Source organism: Homo sapiens, chromosome 1, assembly GCF_000001405.40.
Source record: "Homo sapiens chromosome 1, GRCh38.p14 Primary Assembly".
Lineage (NCBI taxonomy): Eukaryota > Metazoa > Chordata > Mammalia > Primates > Hominidae > Homo > Homo sapiens.
This window is the reverse complement of record NC_000001.11, coordinates 27,502,179-27,521,055: the sequence shown is the minus strand read 5'-3', so window position 1 is coordinate 27,521,055 and position 18,877 is coordinate 27,502,179. Positions and strand designations below refer to the sequence as shown.

General features: G+C 51.4%; 3 annotated features.

Annotated features, from left to right (window-relative positions):
• Positions 15,660-16,246: an enhancer, noted in NCBI's record as "H3K27ac-H3K4me1 hESC enhancer chr1:27831321-27831907 (GRCh37/hg19 assembly coordinates)". NCBI's record gives its function as "activates a minimal SCP1, AML or CMV promoter by ChIP-STARR-seq in naive H9 embryonic stem cells {active_cell/tissue: H9 hESC(naive)}" and the evidence as "EXISTENCE:reporter gene assay evidence [ECO:0000049][PMID:30033119]".
• Positions 16,247-16,832: an enhancer, noted in NCBI's record as "H3K27ac-H3K4me1 hESC enhancer chr1:27830735-27831320 (GRCh37/hg19 assembly coordinates)". NCBI's record gives its function as "activates a minimal SCP1, AML or CMV promoter by ChIP-STARR-seq in naive H9 embryonic stem cells {active_cell/tissue: H9 hESC(naive)}" and the evidence as "EXISTENCE:reporter gene assay evidence [ECO:0000049][PMID:30033119]".
• Positions 16,833-17,420: an enhancer, noted in NCBI's record as "H3K27ac-H3K4me1 hESC enhancer chr1:27830147-27830734 (GRCh37/hg19 assembly coordinates)". NCBI's record gives its function as "activates a minimal SCP1, AML or CMV promoter by ChIP-STARR-seq in naive H9 embryonic stem cells {active_cell/tissue: H9 hESC(naive)}" and the evidence as "EXISTENCE:reporter gene assay evidence [ECO:0000049][PMID:30033119]".

Sequence of the window (18,877 nt, the reverse complement as noted above, 5' to 3'; positions counted from 1 at the left end):
GACAGAGCTGGAACAAGACCTCAGGGCTTCTGCTTTAGTCTCCAAAATCAGTACTGCCTCCCTTCTCTTCCAGCCATCCCATGCCCCAACTCACCCTTCAGGGTTGTCTGCCCACACCACCTCCCAGCCCTGGGCCCCACTAGAGCCACCTGGCTCTGCCCTGGGGAGTCAGGGTGCAAAGGCCAGACAGGCCTCCCACCAGCATTCCAGCTGCCACTGGGAACACAGCTGTCAGCAGGGCCGGGAGAGCCAAAAGCCGCCTCCCCAGCAGGCCCGCATAATTGGTACATTGTCAGCTCAAAAACAGAACTGCTATGGGATCTTGGGCTCTCCAGGCCTCAGTTTCTTCATCTGGCTGGCTGTCGTGGAAAGGAGGAGATGATCTCCAAGGGCCTTTTCAGCTTGGAGTGTTGCCTAAGGAGTGACCGAGGGAGGAGGCAGCTGTGCCAAGGTCCCCAGCCAGCCATGGGTGTGCCTCAGGTGTCCAGAGCCCTGGAATTGGGTCTCTGCCTCACCTTTAGTTTGGGGTGGGATCTGCATCCTCTCTGAGGTCCCGCAAAAGGGAAGGGCTTGGAGAGAGTTTGCAGGCCGGATGGATAGACACACAGATGGAGGAACAAAGGTCTGAAGGAGAGAAGGAAAGAAAGTCTTCAACCTGCACTGAAGGAGGGTGCAAAGGCAGAAGACCGAGGGAGGCCCCCATGCCCTTCCTTTGTTTCTTTCGCCACCCTCTCCTGAGGCTCACTCTGCCCAACCCCACAGGGCTCAGTCTGTGGGAAGGACAAATGTGGGACAGTCACAGGCAGGTGCAGCATGCTGTGGGATGAGCCCGGGGACTGTGGAGGAGGCCCTGCTGGTTTGTGGGGGTGAAGAAGATTCTGGGGGAGGCATCACAGGTAATGAGCTCAGGTTTCCAGGAAGAGGAAGAGTTAGCCTGTATGTGCAATGATTACCCCCATTTTACAGATGGGGAAATCAATGCTTAGAGGTAGAGAAACAGAGTCAGGCCTTGCACCCAAGCCTGCTTGACGGCAAAACCAGTGTTTTTTGTGCTATGCCATGCTGCCTCCCGAAGGAGTGCGTTGCTAACGGTGGCATTTCAGATGTAGTGACAGTGCACCGGGAAGAGGTTCTGGACAGATGGTTCCCAACTGGGCCCCTGCCTCAGGCTAGCAGAGCAGAGGGTTGTCAGGGCAGGCAAAGCACGCCCTCCTCCACTCTGCTAGTGTGTGGGCTGTGGGCAGGTCCCCGCTCCACTCCTCACCATCCCCCTCCAGCCCTTTGGCCTTGCCTGGGTGACCTGCATGAGCTCAGCTTCCCAGCAGCCCTGCAGAGGAGTCAGCCTGGGCAGAGGCTGCCTCTGCCCTCTCGCTGCTTGGCAGTGCCAGGGGAGGCGGGGCCACGGAGGGGTTGGGGAGACGTCCAGCCACCAGACCTCCGGTCCTGTCCCCCAGGTCTGGTGCCCCTGAGGTCTTCTGCAGAGGGCCAGGCTGGGACAGGTAGTGTGGAGCTGGGCACGCTGGTCAGGCCCGTCCCTGTCGCTGCAGCCTTGTTGAGCTGCCATTAACAAGTGGCCGGAGGTTGCCGTGTCTCCATGGAGACCAGACAGTTAGTGCGGCTCCGGGGTGAGGGCCGTGATTAGTGAGTGTCAGCTTTGCCAGCCCTGCTCTTCCCACCGCCCGCCTGCCGCTGGGCTCAGAGACAACAGGCCTGGCAGGGGGATGGGGAAGGACTGGGAGGGGGCTCAGGGCCCTCACAGGCAGGGGGGCTCCCAGGCCCAGCCCCAAGTGCTATGTCTTTGTCTCCCCCAGTGGCTCCTCAATTCCCCCTCCTCTAGTCTCCCGCGTTCCCTCCCCAATCCATCTTCCACACAGCGACCAGGGTGAGCTTTCTAATACGAGCTGCATCCTGACACTGCCTTCCTTTAGAACTTTCCATGGATCCCCGTCTCCTGGAGGCTAAGAGTCAAATTCTTTATCATGGCATTCAAAGAATTCATTCATTCATTCATCACTCATTCATTCAACAAATATTTTTTGAGCACCTACTATGTGCCAGGGAGCCTGCCAGGTATACATGGTCAATAAAACCAGCGAGATCCCTGCCTTCATGGAACTTCCAATCTAGTGAGGAAGACACACTGAGAATAAAATACAAGTCAACGGATACACGATTACAATCATGAGAGTTGGGAGGAAGTGGAGAGAGTGCATTGGTAGAGAATAATTTGTAGGGGAGGCAGCCGAGTTAGAGTGGTCAAGGTGGCAGCATTTGGACAGTCACAGACATTGCTGAGGATCCATCAGTGTGCACAGCATCCCAGAAGGGAAGAATACTCCAAGGAACGGCCTGGGCCAGGGCCCCAGTCTCCTACCAAGGTAAGGCTCCGCCCTGCCCCTCTGCCCTGGCCTACTCCTCCCTCCCTCCCTCCAACCCCCTCCTCCATGGCTCCTATCTTGGTTAGAGGCACAGGGCTTACCCAGGTGAAAAAAAAAACACCTCTGAGTCATCACCAACTCCTTCTTCTCTCCCTGTGTTCTCCTCTCATGATTCCTGGGTCCCGTCAATTCTATCGTGTCTCTTCTCTCCTCGCTGCCACCGCAGACCCTGTCACTTTCACTCAAACTATCACACCTGCCCCAACAGGCTTAGCCATTCATTCGTTCCCTACCGATCATGGATTGAGGCTCCAGGCATTATGCCTTAGGGCCTTGTGGATACAGCAGTGAGCAGTGCCACACAGTCCCTGCCCTTGGCCAGAGTCCAGTCGACGAGGCAGGCAGGTGGGCAGGTCTGCAAGCACAGAGGAGGAGTAAGTAGGAGCATCTAATCTGGACTGGGAGGGGTGTCTAGTAGAGCTTCCGGGTGGAAGTGCTGGCTAAACTGAGACCTGAAGGTGGGCAAGGAGTTAGCCAGGCAAAGTCAAGGGAAAGATACTCTAAGCAGAGGCAAGAGCACGTGGGAAGGCAGGAAGTCAGAGAGGTCCGAGCCTGAGCTAGGGCTGGTGAGGAGCGTGCTCAGATCTGCTCCCCGACAGCCAGGCTCTCCTCGTACAGCTCACGCTCCACACTGCGGCTAGAATCACCTTTCTAAAATAGGCGCAATAAGGCCAGGCACCGTGGCTCACGCCTGTAATCCCAACACTTTGAGAGGCCGTGGAGGGTAGATCACGAGGTCAGGAGATCGAGACCCAGCCTGCCCCACACGGCAAAACCCCGTCTCTACTAAAGATACAAAAAAATTAGGTGGGCGTGGTAGTGCATGCCTATAATCCCAGCTACTTGGGAGGCTGAGGCAGGAGAATCGCTTGAAGCTGGGAGGAGGAGGTTGCAGTGAGCAGACTGCACCACTGCACTCCAGCCTGGGCAACAGGGCAAGACTCCATCTCTAAATAAATAAATAATAAAAATAAAATAGGTATAATCCTGTCCCTTCCCAGCCCTTAAACTCCTGCTCTGTTTCCCCAGTCCTTTAAAGTCTGCCCTCAATAGCAAGGCACTGGAGGCCCTCAAAACTGCCTTTCGAACCTCATTTCCTACCACTCCTCTCAGCCAACTCTGTGTTCAGCCACACCCAAACAGGTCATATCCTTCCATATCCCTGGGCCTTTGTCCACAAAATACATTCCTCCTGGAATGCCCTCTGCCACTTTTCCGGGTGAACTCTTCATCCTTCAGAGCCCAACACAGATGTTCCTTTTCTCTAAGAAGCCTCTCTGGACCCCCACCTCCCCAACAAAAATGAGTTTCTCTTCTATGCCCCATTACAATTCATTTTTATTTATTTATTTTTTGAAACAGAGTCTTGCTCTGTTGCCCAGGCTGGAGTACAGTGGTGGGATCTCGGCTCACTGCAACCACTGCCTCCCAGGTTCAAGCAATTCTCCTGCCTCGGCCTCCTGAGTAGCTGGGATTACAGGTGCACTCCGCCATGCCTGGCTAATTTTTGCATTTTTAGTAGAGACGAGGTTTCGTCATGTTGCCCAGGCTGGGCTCGAACTCCTGACCTCAGGTAATCCGCCCGCCTTGGCCTCCCAAAGTGCTGGAATTATAGGCGTGAGCCACTGTGCCCAGCCTATGCCCCATTACATTTAATTCCAGATAGCTAATACTCACTGAATGCTTCTTTCTATGTGCTAGGCTTTACATAAGCATTCCATGTTCGTGATCATATTTAACCTTCATGGTTATATTATTAGAAAGTGTCATCACTCCCATTTTGCTCATGTGAAACTGAGACTCAGAAAGGTTAAGTAACTAGCTCATTTCACAAACATAATCAGTGATAGAGCTGGGATTTGAACCCAGGCAATTTGTTGCCACCATTTATATGCTTAATCCTTATTCCACACTGCTCTACAGTAAGGTGTTCTAGCAATGTATTTGCCTCCCCTACCAGACTAGCAGCACTTGGAGGACAGAGGCCTAGACTAACTCATCCAGGGTCTCCAGGTCCCAGCACATGGCTCCACACACAAGTCACGGTGTGCAAATGTGTGTAGAATGAATAAATAACTTTAGCTAGAATGCTGCCGGAGGTTGAGATGGGCTTAAAGGTTACTTAGGGCAAATTGAGCCTCCGTATCCTGTGTGGGTCTGGTCATTATCCTGGGACAGATACCATACCCACTCCAGCACCTAGCTCTGGCACAGCCCCAAAAAGGATCTGCTGGTGGCTTTGGGATTCCCATCCCTTGGCTAGCAGCCCCGTTGGAGTCAGACAGATTCAGCTTTGAGTCCCAGTTCTCCCCTTAGATATAGCAAATGACTTCACCTCTCTGAGTCTTAGCTCTTCATCTTCAAAATGAGCTCAATAGTACCTGCCTTTCAGGGTTGTTGTGAAGATAATGAATGGCAGCCATTTTTACTATTTCCCAAGTGTCAGCTATGTGCTGTGCCAGGGTTTGTCATTTACTCTTAATTAGTACAGACCTTAGGCCCAGGCAACCGTGGAGACAGGGGCCCCAGTGTTTTAGAAGGCCACCCTGGCCCTCCTCCACTAGGTGCCTCCCCATGGAGTGAGGAGTCAGAGAGGCCAAGAGGACATACCCACCCAGAGACCACCGTTACCTCTTTCTAGACCACCTCTGAGTACCCAGGATCCTAAATTTCGCTGAGCTAGTTTCCAGGGCCTGGGTGGGCCCTTCCCTCATCCAAACCACACTTCCAGGGTAGATTCCTAGGCCTGAGGGGTGGCCAAGGGCAGCAGGGGTGGGTGGATACAGCTTGACACGCAGGCAATGGGGCAGGCAGGGAATGTGGGAGGAGAAGGGCCTCTGGTGTACTCTTTTTTTTTCTTTTTGTTTTTGAGACAAGGTCTAGCTCTGTCACCCAGGCTGGAGTAACATGCCTGGCTTATTTTTGTATTTTTTGTAGAGACAGGGTTTCACCATGTGGCTCAGGCTGGTCTCAAACTCCTGGGCTCAAGTGATTCACCTGTCTCAGCCTCCCAAAGTGCTGTGATTACAGGCGTGAGCCACTGTGCCTGGCCTGCTGCTATACTCTTATTAGGGACGAGTTTGCCCTCACTAATCTTCACAAATGCCCTGAAAGGCAGGAATTATTAGCTCCATTGTATCTATTATCTTCTATCTATCTATCTATCTATCCATTTATTTATTTTTTTAGAGACAGGGTCTTGCTCTGTCATCCAGGCTGGACAGGGTGGAGTGTAGTGGTGTGACCATAGCCCACTGCAGTCTCAAATTCCTGGGCTCAAACAATCCTCCCACCTCAGCCTCCTGAGTAGAGGGTTTTTTGTTTTGTTTGTTTGTTTGTTTGTATTGACGGGGTCTCACTATTTTGACCAAGATGGTCTCAAACTCCTGCACTCAAGTGATCCTCCTACCTTAGCCTCCCAAAGTGCTGGAATTACAGGCATGAGCCACTGAGCCCTGCCTTGCCCTATTTTATTTTATTTTATTTTATTTATTTTTTTTTTGAGATGGAGTCTCTCTCTGTTGCCCAGGCTGGAGTGCAGTGGCATGATCTCGGCTCACTGCAACCTCCGCCTCCCAGGTTCAAGTGATTCTCCTGCTTCAGCCTCCCAAGTAGCTGAGACTATCGGCGCATTCCACCATGCCTGGCTAATTTTCGTATTTTTAATAGAGACAGGGTTTCACCATGTTGGCCAGGCTGGTTTCGAACTCCTGACCCCAAGTGATCCACCCGCCTTGGCCTCCCAAAGTGCTGGGATTACAGGTGTGAGCCACTGCGCTTGGCCCTGGCACCCCATTTTAAAGATAAAGAAACTAAGGCCCATCTAGAGGAGTGACTCCAAAGCCTGTTCATTTTACTCCGTCTGAGGAGGCTTTAGATCTAAATGTTTTACATATATTTTCTCATTTAATCCTCACAATGACCCTATGATGTAAGCAATATTATTATCTCACTTTTCAGATGATGAGACTGAGGCACAGAAAGGTTAAGAAACTTGCCTACGATTGCATAGCTCATGAGTGGCAGAACTGGGAGTTGAACCCTGAGAGTCAAGCTCTTAACCATGGGCTCTGCTGCCTGTTACCATGATCATAGTTATAACTCAGTTCCTTAACTTGGCTAGCAACCCCCTGCCTCAAACATCTGCCTGAGGACAGGAATACAGTGAAGGTGCTCTGGGTGCGCTCTGGGCGAAAAGCCAGAAAGAGGTAGAAATGGAATCCAATCTGAAGGCACCTGGGCAGAACATGTGGAAGGAGCTAGGGACTGGGGCTTGACCCTGCTCCTCACCCTCTGTCCTGCAGTGCCAGGACAGCTGGGCAGGGCCCCGGGGGCCGTTCAGAGAGAGGGACCTCTGGCCTGAGCCTCACGCTATGTCCTCCTTCCCAGTCTGTGGCTTGAGAAGATGGCACTTTCCCAGGACCGAGGCAGAGGCTGCCCCACCACTTCCCCTCCAAGGCCCAGCTGTGAGGCGCCTGCCCAAGCTCCCACCAGCCCCGCCTCTCCCACTCCCCGGCCAAGCTGCTGCTGCTCTGTGGTCACCTGGACCCAATTTTCTTCTTCCTGCCTCCTCCCATCTCTGGGAAGCACCCCTTGGTTGCCCTGCCAATTTCCAAAGGCTTCTCCCCCAGGAAGCCATCTCTGCCTTTGCCCCAGTCTTACCCCCAGGTCCCCTACCCCGACTCGGAACACTCAGGCTCCTGTCCTTTCACCCCCACACACAGATAATCACTTGGACCATCAGCCCATTTTCCATTTGGTTCCTGGCGGAACACCGGGTCCGCCTGGCCAAACTATGAGTTCCCTTTCCCTGGGCGGTATCACTTCCTGTGCTTCCCTCTCCCCCAGCAGTGCCTGGCAGGGAGGAGGCCACAGCCAGAGGGTTGCCCATGCATCAGGAACTGAACCTTAGCACTGAGAGGCCTGGAATCAGCATGACTATTCTTCAAGCTTTGGAGGTCAACCTCCCTGTCACTTGCTAAATGAGAAAACCCAAGAGGCCCGGGGAGGGGAAGGGACTTGCCTAAGGTCACCCAGAGGCCAGGCCAGGACTCAAATCCAGGTCTTCCAACTCTCAGACCCAGGCTTCTCACACTGTGTGAGATCAAGTTTCCAACCCTCCCAGGTACTCCTCATTTTCAGACAGATGACCAGAATAGTACCTGAGAATGTACTGTCAGAAACTCAGGAGTTAATTCTGCCCCAAAGGCCATATCTGGAAAAGTCCCAAAGAGATTGTTAGCCCAATCACCCTCCATCCACTCCCATCTTTTTTTTTTTTTTTTTGAGACGGAGTTTCGTACTTGTAGCCCAGGCTGGAGTGCAATGGCGAGATCTCGGCTCACAGCAACCTCCGCCTCCCGAGTTCAAGCGATTCTCCTGCCTCAGACTCCTGAGTAGCTGGGATTACAGGCATCTGCCACCACGCCTGGCTAATTTTTGTATTTTTAGTAGAGATGAGGTTTCACTATGTTGGCCAGGCTGGTCTGGAACTCCTGACCTCAGGTGATCTGCCTGCCTCAGCTTCCCAAAGTCTTAGGATTACAGGCATGAGCCACCGCGCCTGGCCATCCACTCCCATCTTACAGACAAGCACACTAAGACCTGAAAGCAGACTGTCTCTAAAGAAAACAAAAAGGGGGCAGGGCGCTGTGGCTCACGCCTGTAATCCCAGCACTTTGGGAGGCCGAGGCGGGCGGATCACGAGGTCAGGAGTTCGAGACCAGCCTGGCCAACATGGTGAAACCCCGTCTCTACTAAAAATACAAAAATTAGCCGGACATGGTGGTGGGCGCCTGTAATGCCTGCTACTCAGGGGGCTGAGGCAGGAGAATCGTTTGAACCTGGGAGGCAGAGGTCGCAGTGAGCTGATATCACGCCATTGCACTCCAGACTGGGCAACAAGAGCAAAACTCCGTCTCAAAAAAAAAGAAAGAAAGCAAGCAGAATGGACCTCCTCAAGGTCACACAAAGCTGGGGCTAGAGCTCAGACAGGATTCCAGGTCGAGTTCTTGGAAGAATTAAGCATGGCCACCCAACTCATTCATTCAACAACGATTTGTCTGAGAACCTACTAATTCCAGGCTCTGTTCCAAGTGCTGAGAATATAAGGGTAAGAAAGACAATCATAAGGCCAGGTGCGGTGGCTCATGCCTGTAATCCCAGCACTCTGGGGGGCCGAGGTGGGTGGATCACCTGAGGTCAGGAGTTTGAGACCAACCTGGTCAACATGGCAAAACCCCGTCTCCACTAAAAATATAAAAATTAGCCAGGTGTGGTGGCACATGCTTGCAATCCCAGCTACTCAGGAAGCTGAGGCAGGGAGAATCACTTGAACCCGGGAGGCGGAGATTGCAGTGAGCAGAGATCACGCGACTGCACTCCAGCCTGGGCCACAGAGCAAGACTCTTGTCTAAAAAAAAAAAAAAGAAAGCAAGAAAGAATCATTGCTGGAAGAAACAGGAGGGGGCTTCTGGGTACAGGAAATGTTCTGCATCTTGATCTGGGGACTGGTTATATGAGTGTGTTCAGTTTGTGAAAATTCATATCAAAGTGTATGTTTTGATATGTGTACTTTTCTGCATGCATATTTCAGTTATATATTTTATTTATTTTATTTTATTTTTTTGAGACGGACTCTCGCTCTTTCGCCAGGCTGGAGTGCAGTGGCACAATCTCGGCTCACTGCAACCTCCACCTCCTGGGTTCAAGTGATTCTCCTGCCTCAGCCTCCCCAGTAGCTAGGACTACAGGTGCTTGCCACCACGCACAGATAATTTTTGTATTTTTAGTAGAGACGGGGTTTCTCCATGTTGGCCAGGATGGTCTCGATCTCTTGACCTCATGATCTGCCCGCCTCAGCCTCCCAAAGTGCTTGGATTTACAGGTGTGACCCACTACACCTGGACTGATTTTTTTGTGTGTTTTTTTGAGACAGAGTCTTGCTCTGTCGCCCAGGCCAGGGTGCAGTGGCGTGATCTCAGCTCACTGCAACCTTTGCCTCCTGGGTTCAAGTGATTCTCCTGCCTCAGCCTCCCAATTAGCTGGGACTACAGGCAGTTGCCACCACACCTGGCTAATTTTTGTATTTTTAGTAGAGATGGAGTTTTGCCATGTGGACCCGGCTGGTCTTGAACTCCTGACCTCAGGTGATACAACTGCCTCGGCCTCCCAAAGTGCTGGGATTACAGGCGTGAGCCACTGCGCCCAGCCTAAAATGGATTTTTTTTATTTTGAGATGGAGTTTTGCTCTTGTTGTCCAGGCTGGAGTGCAATGGCATGATCTCCACTCACCGCAACCTCTGCCTCCTGGGTTCAAGTGATTCTCCTGCCTCAGCCTCCCGAGTAGCTGGGATTACAGACACGTGCCACCATGCCTGCCTAATTTTGTATTTTTAGTAGAGACATGGCTTCACCATGTTGGTCAGGCTGGTCTCGAACTCCTGATCTCAGGTGATCCGCCCACCTTGGCCTCCCAAAGTGCTGGGATTATAGGCGTGAGCCACCGCTCCCAGCCTAAAATGGATTTTTTAAAAAGACAGTCACAAGCACTGAGCTCACAGGGCTGTAGTATAGTAGGGAGGATGAGACATTAAACAAGGAATTACACAAATAATTGTTTAATTACAGTTGTGACAAGTGCTACAATCAAGTGGAAGGTGTTATGACGTATGGAGTAGGATGACCTGATCTAGTTTAGGAGTAGTCAAGGAAGACTTCTCAAAGGAGGTGGGGTATCAGCTGAACTGTAAAGAATAAGAGTTAACAGGGTGGGAATGATTCTCAACCCCTACCTCACACTGCACAAAAATTAATTCAACATGAATCATGCACCTAAATGCGAACACAAACACTTTAAATCTTATAGAAGAAAACATACAGGGCTGGGCTCAGTGGCTCATGCCTGTAATCCCAGCATTTTGGGAAGCCGAGGCGGGTGGATCACCTCAGGTCAGAAGTTCGAGACCAGCCTGACCAATAGGGTGAAAACCTGTCTCTACTAAAAATACAAAAATTAGCCAGGCGTGGTGGCGTGTGCCTGTAGTCTCAGCTGCTTGGGAAGCTGAGGCACAAGAATCACTTGAACCCAGGAGGCGGAGGTTGCAGTGAGCCAAGATCTCACCACTGCACTCCAGCCTGGGCAACAGAGCAAGATCTGTCTCAAAAAAAAAAGAAAACATATGGGAATATTTTCATGACCTGGAGATAGGCAAAGATTTCTTTTGTTGTTGTTGTTGTTGCCGTGTTTTAGAGACAAGAGTCTTGCTCTGTTGCCCAAACTGGAGTGCAGCGGCATAATCATGGTTGACTGCAGCCTTGGACTCCTGGGGTTAAGCAGTCCTCCTGCCTCGGCCTCCCAAAGTGCTATGACTACAGGTGTGAGCCACTCTTCCCGGCCTAAGCAAAGATTTCTGAGGCATTGAAAGCACTAACCATAAAACAAAATTATCAGGCAGTGGGGGAAACATTCAAGACAGAGAAAACAGTATATGTGAAAGCCCAGAGGGGAGAAGGGGAAAGGTGTGTTGGAAGAGCTGAGGAAAGGCCAGAAGAAGCAAAGTCAGGGAGACAGTGAAGTGAGAGAAGGGCCAAGAGGTTGGAAACAAAGGTCAGGGATAATGTGACTTTAACCAGGGTTTGCAAAAACCTAATATTACCCTCTTTGACGTGCTCAGGACTACAAGGTGTTGCCTACACAAAAAGGAGAATAAAAGGGAACACGCCCCCCTTCTCCCAGCTCAGCAACAAGGCAAGGCCAGGCTTGGATTCTGCTTCTTTGCAATCAAGATATAGTTTTTTTACAACTTGAAAAGTCACTTAATCCAGGTGCCAGGATGAGGTGGGGCATTGCAGGTGGGGACTCGGGCTGTTAGGCCCCGTCCTGCCAGGCCCAGCCCTGGTCTTAGAGGAGCTGGAGTTTGCCAGCTCCCACCCACGCCTCAGCTCCTGCTATAGCCCCACCCCACCCCTGCTCAGCACCTGGACCTCCTCATCTCCTCTTCCCTCTCTCCCTCTCTTGGAGGGCTGACAAGTCCCACAGGAAAGAAAGAGCTCAGAGGTCAGGAGTTTCCTCCACCTACTCGCACTCCCACATACATCCCAATATACCCCAAAACAGAGCTGGAGTGGGGGGCCTCAGGCAACCAAGTACCCACAGAGTTCAGCTGTCTCATCAGTCAGGCCTCTTCCCTGCAAGGCGCTCAGGAAAGACTGACGGTGGTGACTCCATTCAATTCAACCAACATTGAGTACCTGCTGCATGCCAGGCCCTGTGCTAGAGTTAAGAAGGGTGTTGTTCCCACTCTCTGGGAACTCTTGGGGCAGTGGGGGAAAGATGGTGCACACAGCCAACAGTATTACACGTGCTTTATAGTGGTGCAAAGTGCAATTGAGTATACAAAGTGAGACTGATTTCACTTGGGGAATGGTGAGTGGATATCAAGGAAAATTTCCTCTGAGCAGTGACATCTGAGCTGGGCCATAACAAATCAGTAAGACTGCCAGTAAGAAAAGGTCTTTGAGGCCAGGCATGGTGGCTCATGCCTTTAACCCTAGCACTTTGGGAGGCTGAGGTGGGAGGACTGCTTGAGGCCAGGAGTTCAAGAGCAACCTGGCCAACATAGCGAGACCGTCTCTAAAGGAAACAAAAAGGAGCCAGGCGCGATGGCTCATGCCTGTAATCCCAGCACTTTGGGAGGCCAAGGCGGGCGGATCACGAGGTCAGAAGATCGAGACCATCCTGGCCAACATGGTGAAACCCCGTCTCTACTAAAATACAAGAAAAAAAAATTAGCAGGGCATGGTGGTGGGTGCCTTGTAGTCCCAGCTACTCGGGAGGCTGAGGCAGGGGAATCACTTGAACCTGGGAGGCGGAGGTTGCAACGAGCTGAGATCATGCCACTGCACTCCAGCCTGGTGACAGAGCAAAACTCTGTCTCAAAAATTAAAAAAAAAAAAAAAAAAGAAGTGCTCCTTTTGGCAGAGGAAAGTATAAGAATTATAGTGACTACCAGGAGTGTGAGGTAGTTTGCTCAGCACCTTATGTATTCATTTAATTGTCACGATGACTTTGTGAAATTGTGTAATTATGGCCATTCTCCAGATGTGGCAGCTGAGGCTTTGAGACACACAGCTAGTAAGCGGCAAAACTGGGATTTCAACTCAGTGCTGTCTGCTTCCATGAGTTGAACTTCTGCCACCTAGAGTAGCCTGAGCAAAGGACATGTGGCAACTTGAGCAGAGGGCCATGAGGTGAGGGCTGGAGGGCCTCACCATGAGGTGAGGCAGGGGTTGGGTTGGGGGAGCCTTGGTTGAGGAGTGTGGGCTTTATCCAGAGAGCAATGGCAGTGGGGGGCGGTATGGGAGGTTCACTAATGGGGGTGTGGGGTAAAGAAAGATGATGCTTACGATTAGCTTTCTGTTTTCAGAGGCCCTCTTTGAAGAGAAGAAATTAGAGGCAGAGAAACCTGTGTGGGAGTGGCTGTAAAAATCCAAGAGAAAGATGGGGGTTGAGGGATGAAGAGGAAGGTAGGCATCTGGGAGATACCGAGCGGAACCTGGGGACTGATTGGTTCCAGTGGACAAGTGGAGGGAGGAGTCCAAGCTGATGTCCCAGGATTTTGCCTGTGTGCTCCAAAAGGAACCCCAATTATTAGGTTTTGTATTTCGTTTTGTTTTTTGTTTTTTGAGATAGGGTTTCACTCTGTCTCCCAGGCTGGAGTGCAGTGGCGCGATCAGGGCTCACTGCAGGCTCGACTTCTCCCCAGGCTCAGGTGATTCTCCCACATCAGCCTCCTGAGTAGCTGAGACTACAGGTGTGCTCCACCATGCTCGCTCATTTTTTGAAATTTTTGTAGAGATGGGGTCTTGCCATGTTGCCCAGGCTGTTCTGGAACTCCTGGGCTCGAGCGATCCACCCACCTTGGCCTCCCAAAGTGCTCAGATTACAGGCATAAGCCACCATGCCCAGCCTTGGCTACTTTTTTTTATTTTTATTTTTATTTTTTTTTGAGATGGAGTCTTGCTCTGTCACCCAGGCTAGAGTGCAATGGCGCGATCTCGGCCTCCTGGGTTCAAGCAATTCTCCTGCCTCAGCCACCTGAGTAGCTGGGATTACAGGCACGTGCCACCATGCCCAGCTAATTTTTGTATTTTTAGTAGAGACGGGGTTTCACCATGTAGGTCAGGCTCAAACCCCTGACCTCATGATCCACCTGCCTTGGCCTCCCAAAATGCTAGGATTACAGGCGTGAGCCACTGCGTTCGGCCAATTTTTTAAATTTTTTGTAGAGATGGGGTCTCGCAGGCCAGGCGTGGTAGCACACACCTGTAGTTCCAGCTACTCAGGAGACTGAGGTGGGAGCCTGGGAGGTTGAGGCTACAATGAACCCTGATTGTGCCACTGTACTCTAGTCTGTGCAAGAGAGTGAGACCCTGTCTCAAAAAAAAAAAAAAAAAAAAAAAAAGCCGGGTGCAGTGGCTCACACTTATAATCCCAGCACTTTGAGAGGCCAAGGCAGGCAGATCATTTAAGATCAGGAGTTCAAGATCAGCCTGGTCAACATGAGAGATGGGGTCTATGTTGCCCAGACTGGTATTAAACTCCTGGGCTCAAGCAATCCTCCTGCCTTGGCCTCCCAAAATGCTGGGATGAGAGGCATAAGGCACTGCGTCCAGCTCCAGTAATTAGTTTTTAACAACATACTGGGCACCCGCTAGCCGCCTACCATGACTCAGCCCCACATGTGGCACCTGCAAAATTCACTCCTGATGGGTGCTTTATTCTCCTCCAAATACTCATTTATATTCATCACCTATTTGTGTATGTATTTATCTAACATATATGGAGCACCTGCTGTATGCCAGATGCTGTGCCGGGAACCGGGGATACATCAGGGCACAAACTAAACCCGTGTCATTAGTGATGTAATGGTTATAGCCGGCGGTCTGCATTTGAATCCTGATTTGCAACTTATTTGTGGTGAGTCCTGGCTCAGCCTCCAACTTGCTGTGACTTCAGGTGAGTGAGTGAACCTCTCATTGTCTGTTTCTTCATCTGTAAGATGGCGATACCAACAGTACCTACCATGCAGATTAAATGGGTTAAATGTAAAGTCCTGGGCCCCGGGTCAGCATTTGACATTAGCTATTATTAGAGTTTACATTTTAACGAGGATCCAATTGCACAATTAATTATTTAATTCATTATTATTATTATTGAGACGGAGTCTTGCTCTGTTGCCCAGGCTAGAGTGCAGTGGCGCGATCTTGGCTCACTGCAAACTCCGTCTCCTGGATTCAAGCGACTCTCCTGCCTCAGCCTCCTGAGTAGCTGAGACTACAGGCGTGTGCCACCATGCCTGGCTAATTTTTGTACTTTTAGTAGAGACGGGGTTTCACCATTTTGGCCAGGCTGGTCTCAAACTCCTGGCCTCAGGTGATCTGTCTGCCTCAGCCTCCCAAAGTGCTGGGATTACAGGTGTGAGCCACCGCCACCCCTGACCTATTTAATTTATTTTTATTTTTATGTTTGAGACAGGGCCTCACTCCGTCACCCAGGCTGGAGTTCAGTGGCACAGTTACAGCTCACTGCAGGTCACTCCTCAACCTCCCAGGCTCAATCCATCCTACCACCTCAGCCTCCCGAGTAGCAGGGACTACAGGCACATGCCACCATGCCCAGCTAATTTATTTTTTGTAGAGACAGGGTTTTGCCATGTTGCCCAGGCTGGTCTTGAACACCTGGCTTCAAGTAATCCTCCCACCTCAGCCTCCCAAAGTGTTGGGATTACAGGCCTGAGGCACCACACTGGCCAATTATTTAATTATGTACAACCATGATAAATACAGCACTGCCGTCTTTTTTCTTCTGAAGGTGCCTCCTTCAGAAGTTGAGGGCAGGTTTTAGAGCAGGTGATGGTCCCACTGAGCTGAGCTGAGTGAGTTGGGGCTGGCCAGGGAAAGCATGAGGGAGGGAGGGGTGGTCGAGGCAAAGGGCACAGTGAGAAGGCAGACCCGCAGGTGGAAGGAGGCGCTGAGAGCTTTGTATTTCCAGAACTTTACTTGGAGCCTCAAAACAGTGCTGAGAAGTAGGTCAGGCAGATACTATGCCCCCATTTTACAGAAACGGCACTAAGGCCCAGAGAGGAACAATGACTTAGCAGGTCTGTGACAGAGGAGGCTCCGTCAATGTTCTGCCAGCTGATCCAGGGGGCTGGAGAGGACAGGCCTGAGAAGAGGCCTTTGTCCCTTTGCCGGCTGGGGCGGGAGCAGCAGAAGCTGAGGCTGCAGCTGGCCACCAGCAGCTGTGGTGGCCAGAGCTGCATTCCTTCCCCTGCCAGTGAGCAAGTCCAGGCTTATGGCAGGGGCTGGGAATTTTCTTTTTGTCTTTTAAAAAAAAAGCACTTTAGTCAACATTAAGTTGTGACTTCAAACAGACACAGCTCCTAAGTGTCCTCCCCAGCCCTAGTTCTCTCCAACTCCCCAGGGTAAGCCCCCAGGCAGCCAAGTTTCTGGGAAAGGCAGGAGGCCTGGACTTGGAGTCCAAAGACTGTGGTGAGCCTTGGCTCAGACTCCCGCTTGCTGTGTGACCTCAGGCAGGTCACCACCCTCTCTGGGCCTGAGTGTCCTCTGCAAAACAGGGAAGGGAGGGTTGGATGACATAAGGTGGGGTGGGGAGCCCAGCAGCTGGCCCCAGCCAGTGGCAACACAGCTCTGCTGCTCTCCAACTTTGAGGCAGTGGGGCCTTGGGGGTCCGGAAGCTGGGGACAGGCAGCCTTTCATCTCTGCTGGCCCAGGGTCGCTGCAGGTTGGCAGGCCCCACATCCCGAGATCGCGTTTCAGGCTGGAAGGGGCCTTCCTGTGACCTCAGCCGGCCAGGCCTGCCCCTGCCTCCCTCCTCCCCATTCTCACCAGAGGGAAGCAGGCAGTATCCCGCCCAAGGTCACCAGCCAGCAAGTGGCTGTCCTTCGGCCTGCCCTTCCCTCCCACCCGAGCCAGCCCCCACCGGCCTCCCACTGTAAAGCCTCAGGTCTCCTGGGCCATTAGGAATCTGCCAGGCGAGGCGTGGTCTTTTTCCTCTCTCTTGTTTCTTGGCTTGTTTTCCCAGTTCTCCAACAGCCGCCTCCTGCAAAAGCCTCTGGGTGCGTGTACAGGAATATTTTTCTTTAAAAAAAAAGAGAGAGAGAGAGAGATTGAAGAAAGACAGAGAAATACAGCAGAGTTTGGGTAAAAAAGCAAGCAACTCCTTAATCCTTTCCCTGTAACCTCTGGCTTCTCAGCTGGGTTGGCCCCAGGCACTGGGAAGGCAGGCTTTGCTGGGGTGAGAGGCCTGGGCTTGTACCCCACCGCCCCCTCCTCACCCGCCTCTGTTCTCCGGGGTTTGGTCTGACTTTTGGAGCCAGGAGGAGACGAGCTGCAGGGCTCAGCAGGGCTGGGAACACATGGGGGTGCTGAGGGGCTTGGCTGGGACTTTGCCCCCTGCCCACTTGGCCACCTTCTATGGAGGCTACAGGATCCGAATATTTCACCCATAACTCATTCCCTCTCTTCCTGCTTTCGTTCCTTTATCCTCTGTCTTCGGAATCACTGGCCTGTCCAGTGCTAGCTCCCTGAGTGCCATCTCCCATCCCTGCACCCTGTCACCCCACACGGGGCTTGGCTTTCTTGTTTTGTGAAAGTCATACACTTTCACACTTTGTCTTTATCCAGTCAGACCCCTCTGTAGAGGTGGCACTCAGTGTCCTGCCCTTTGTCCTGTCTGAGGAACCAACCCCTAATTATCTGTTGTAGTCACAGTTCCTGGGTCCATGCCTGACATATAGGAGGTATGTTGGGGTGCTTCTCGAATGAATAAATTCAAATCATAAATAGGTCGCTCAAAATATTCAGAGTGAGCTGGGCGCGGTGGCTCACGCCTGTAATCCCAGCACTCTGAGAGGCCGAGGCAGGCAGATCACGAGGTCAAGAGATCGAGATCATCCTGGCCAACATGGTGAAACCGCGTCTCTACTAAAAATACAAAAATTAGCCAGGCGTGGTGGTGCGCACCTGTAGTCCCAGCTACTTGGAAGGCTGAGGCAGGAGAATTGCTTGAACCCGGGAGGCGGAGACTGCAGTGAGCCGAGATCGCGCCACTGCATTCCAGCCTGGACAACAGAGCCAGGCTCCATCTCAAAAAAAAAAAAAAAAATTCAGAGTGATCCTGCAAAAGGGACATTTGATTGTGACATATCTCTGTTAGAACTCTTCCATGCCTCCCCAGCACCCCCAGAATCCAGTCCAATCCTCTGTCTCCACCTCTCCCCACTCACCAGCCCTCATCAAAGGATGTCCTTTTCCCCCAGTGAGCCATCATTTTTTCTCTTGCCTCTGGGCCTTTGCACATGAAATTCCAACCACCTGCCTGCCTCTCCCGGCTGTCTCAAACCTGTTCCCTTGTCAGATTCAAGGAGCAGAACACACAAGTGTTCAGAGCCCAGCAAAGCAGGGATACTCAAGACTTTTTTTTCAAATGGTTTGACATTCAATAATTTTTAAAAATCACTGAAATAGGCTGGGTGCGGTGGCTCATGCCTATAATCACAGCACTTTGGGAGGCGGGCGGATCACCTGAGGTTAGGAGTTCGAGACCAGCCTGGCAAACATGGTGACACCCTGTCTCTACTAAAAATACAAAAATTAGCCGGGCATGGTCGTGGGTGCCTATAATCCCAGCTACTCCAGTGGCTGAGGCAAGAGAATTGCTTGAACCTAGGAGGTGGGGGTTGCAGTGAGCCGAGATCCAGCCACTGCACTCACTCCGGCCTGGGCAACAGAGTGAGACTTCATCTCAATAAAACAAGCAAACAAAAAATCACTGAAATAGTGCTCATGGGAAAATTCAGAACTTTATTGGAGCTTCTTGGTCTTATTTTCTGGTGAGTTTTGTTTTTATGTTGAATTTATACCTAGGTTGGTATGGCACTAGGTGACACGATCTGGCTCTGGTCTTTAAGTCTCAGCCTAGATGTCAACTACTCCTCTACTGACTCCTCCAGACCGGTTTAGGTCTCTTCCTGGTGCTCCCGAAGCCCTTCTTCTTTTTTTTTTTTGTAGAGATGGGATTCTCACTATGTGCTGGGATTACAGGCATGAGCTGCCACACCTAACCCCCTATGGATTTTTTATATCCATATTTTTGTTTTGCTTATTCCTTTTCATTTCCTTGCCCCAAGTCTGTAAGCTCCCTGAGGGCCTAATATTTTTCTTTTTCTTTTTTTTTTTTTTGAGACGGAGTTTTGCTCTTGTTGCCCAGGCTGGAGTGCAGTGGTGCGATCTCGGCTCACCCCAACCTCCACCTCCCGGGTTCAAGTGATTCTCCTGCCTCAGCCTCCTGAGTAGCTGGGATTATAGGCATGCGCCACCATGCCCAGCTAATTTTGTATTTTTCGTAGAGATGG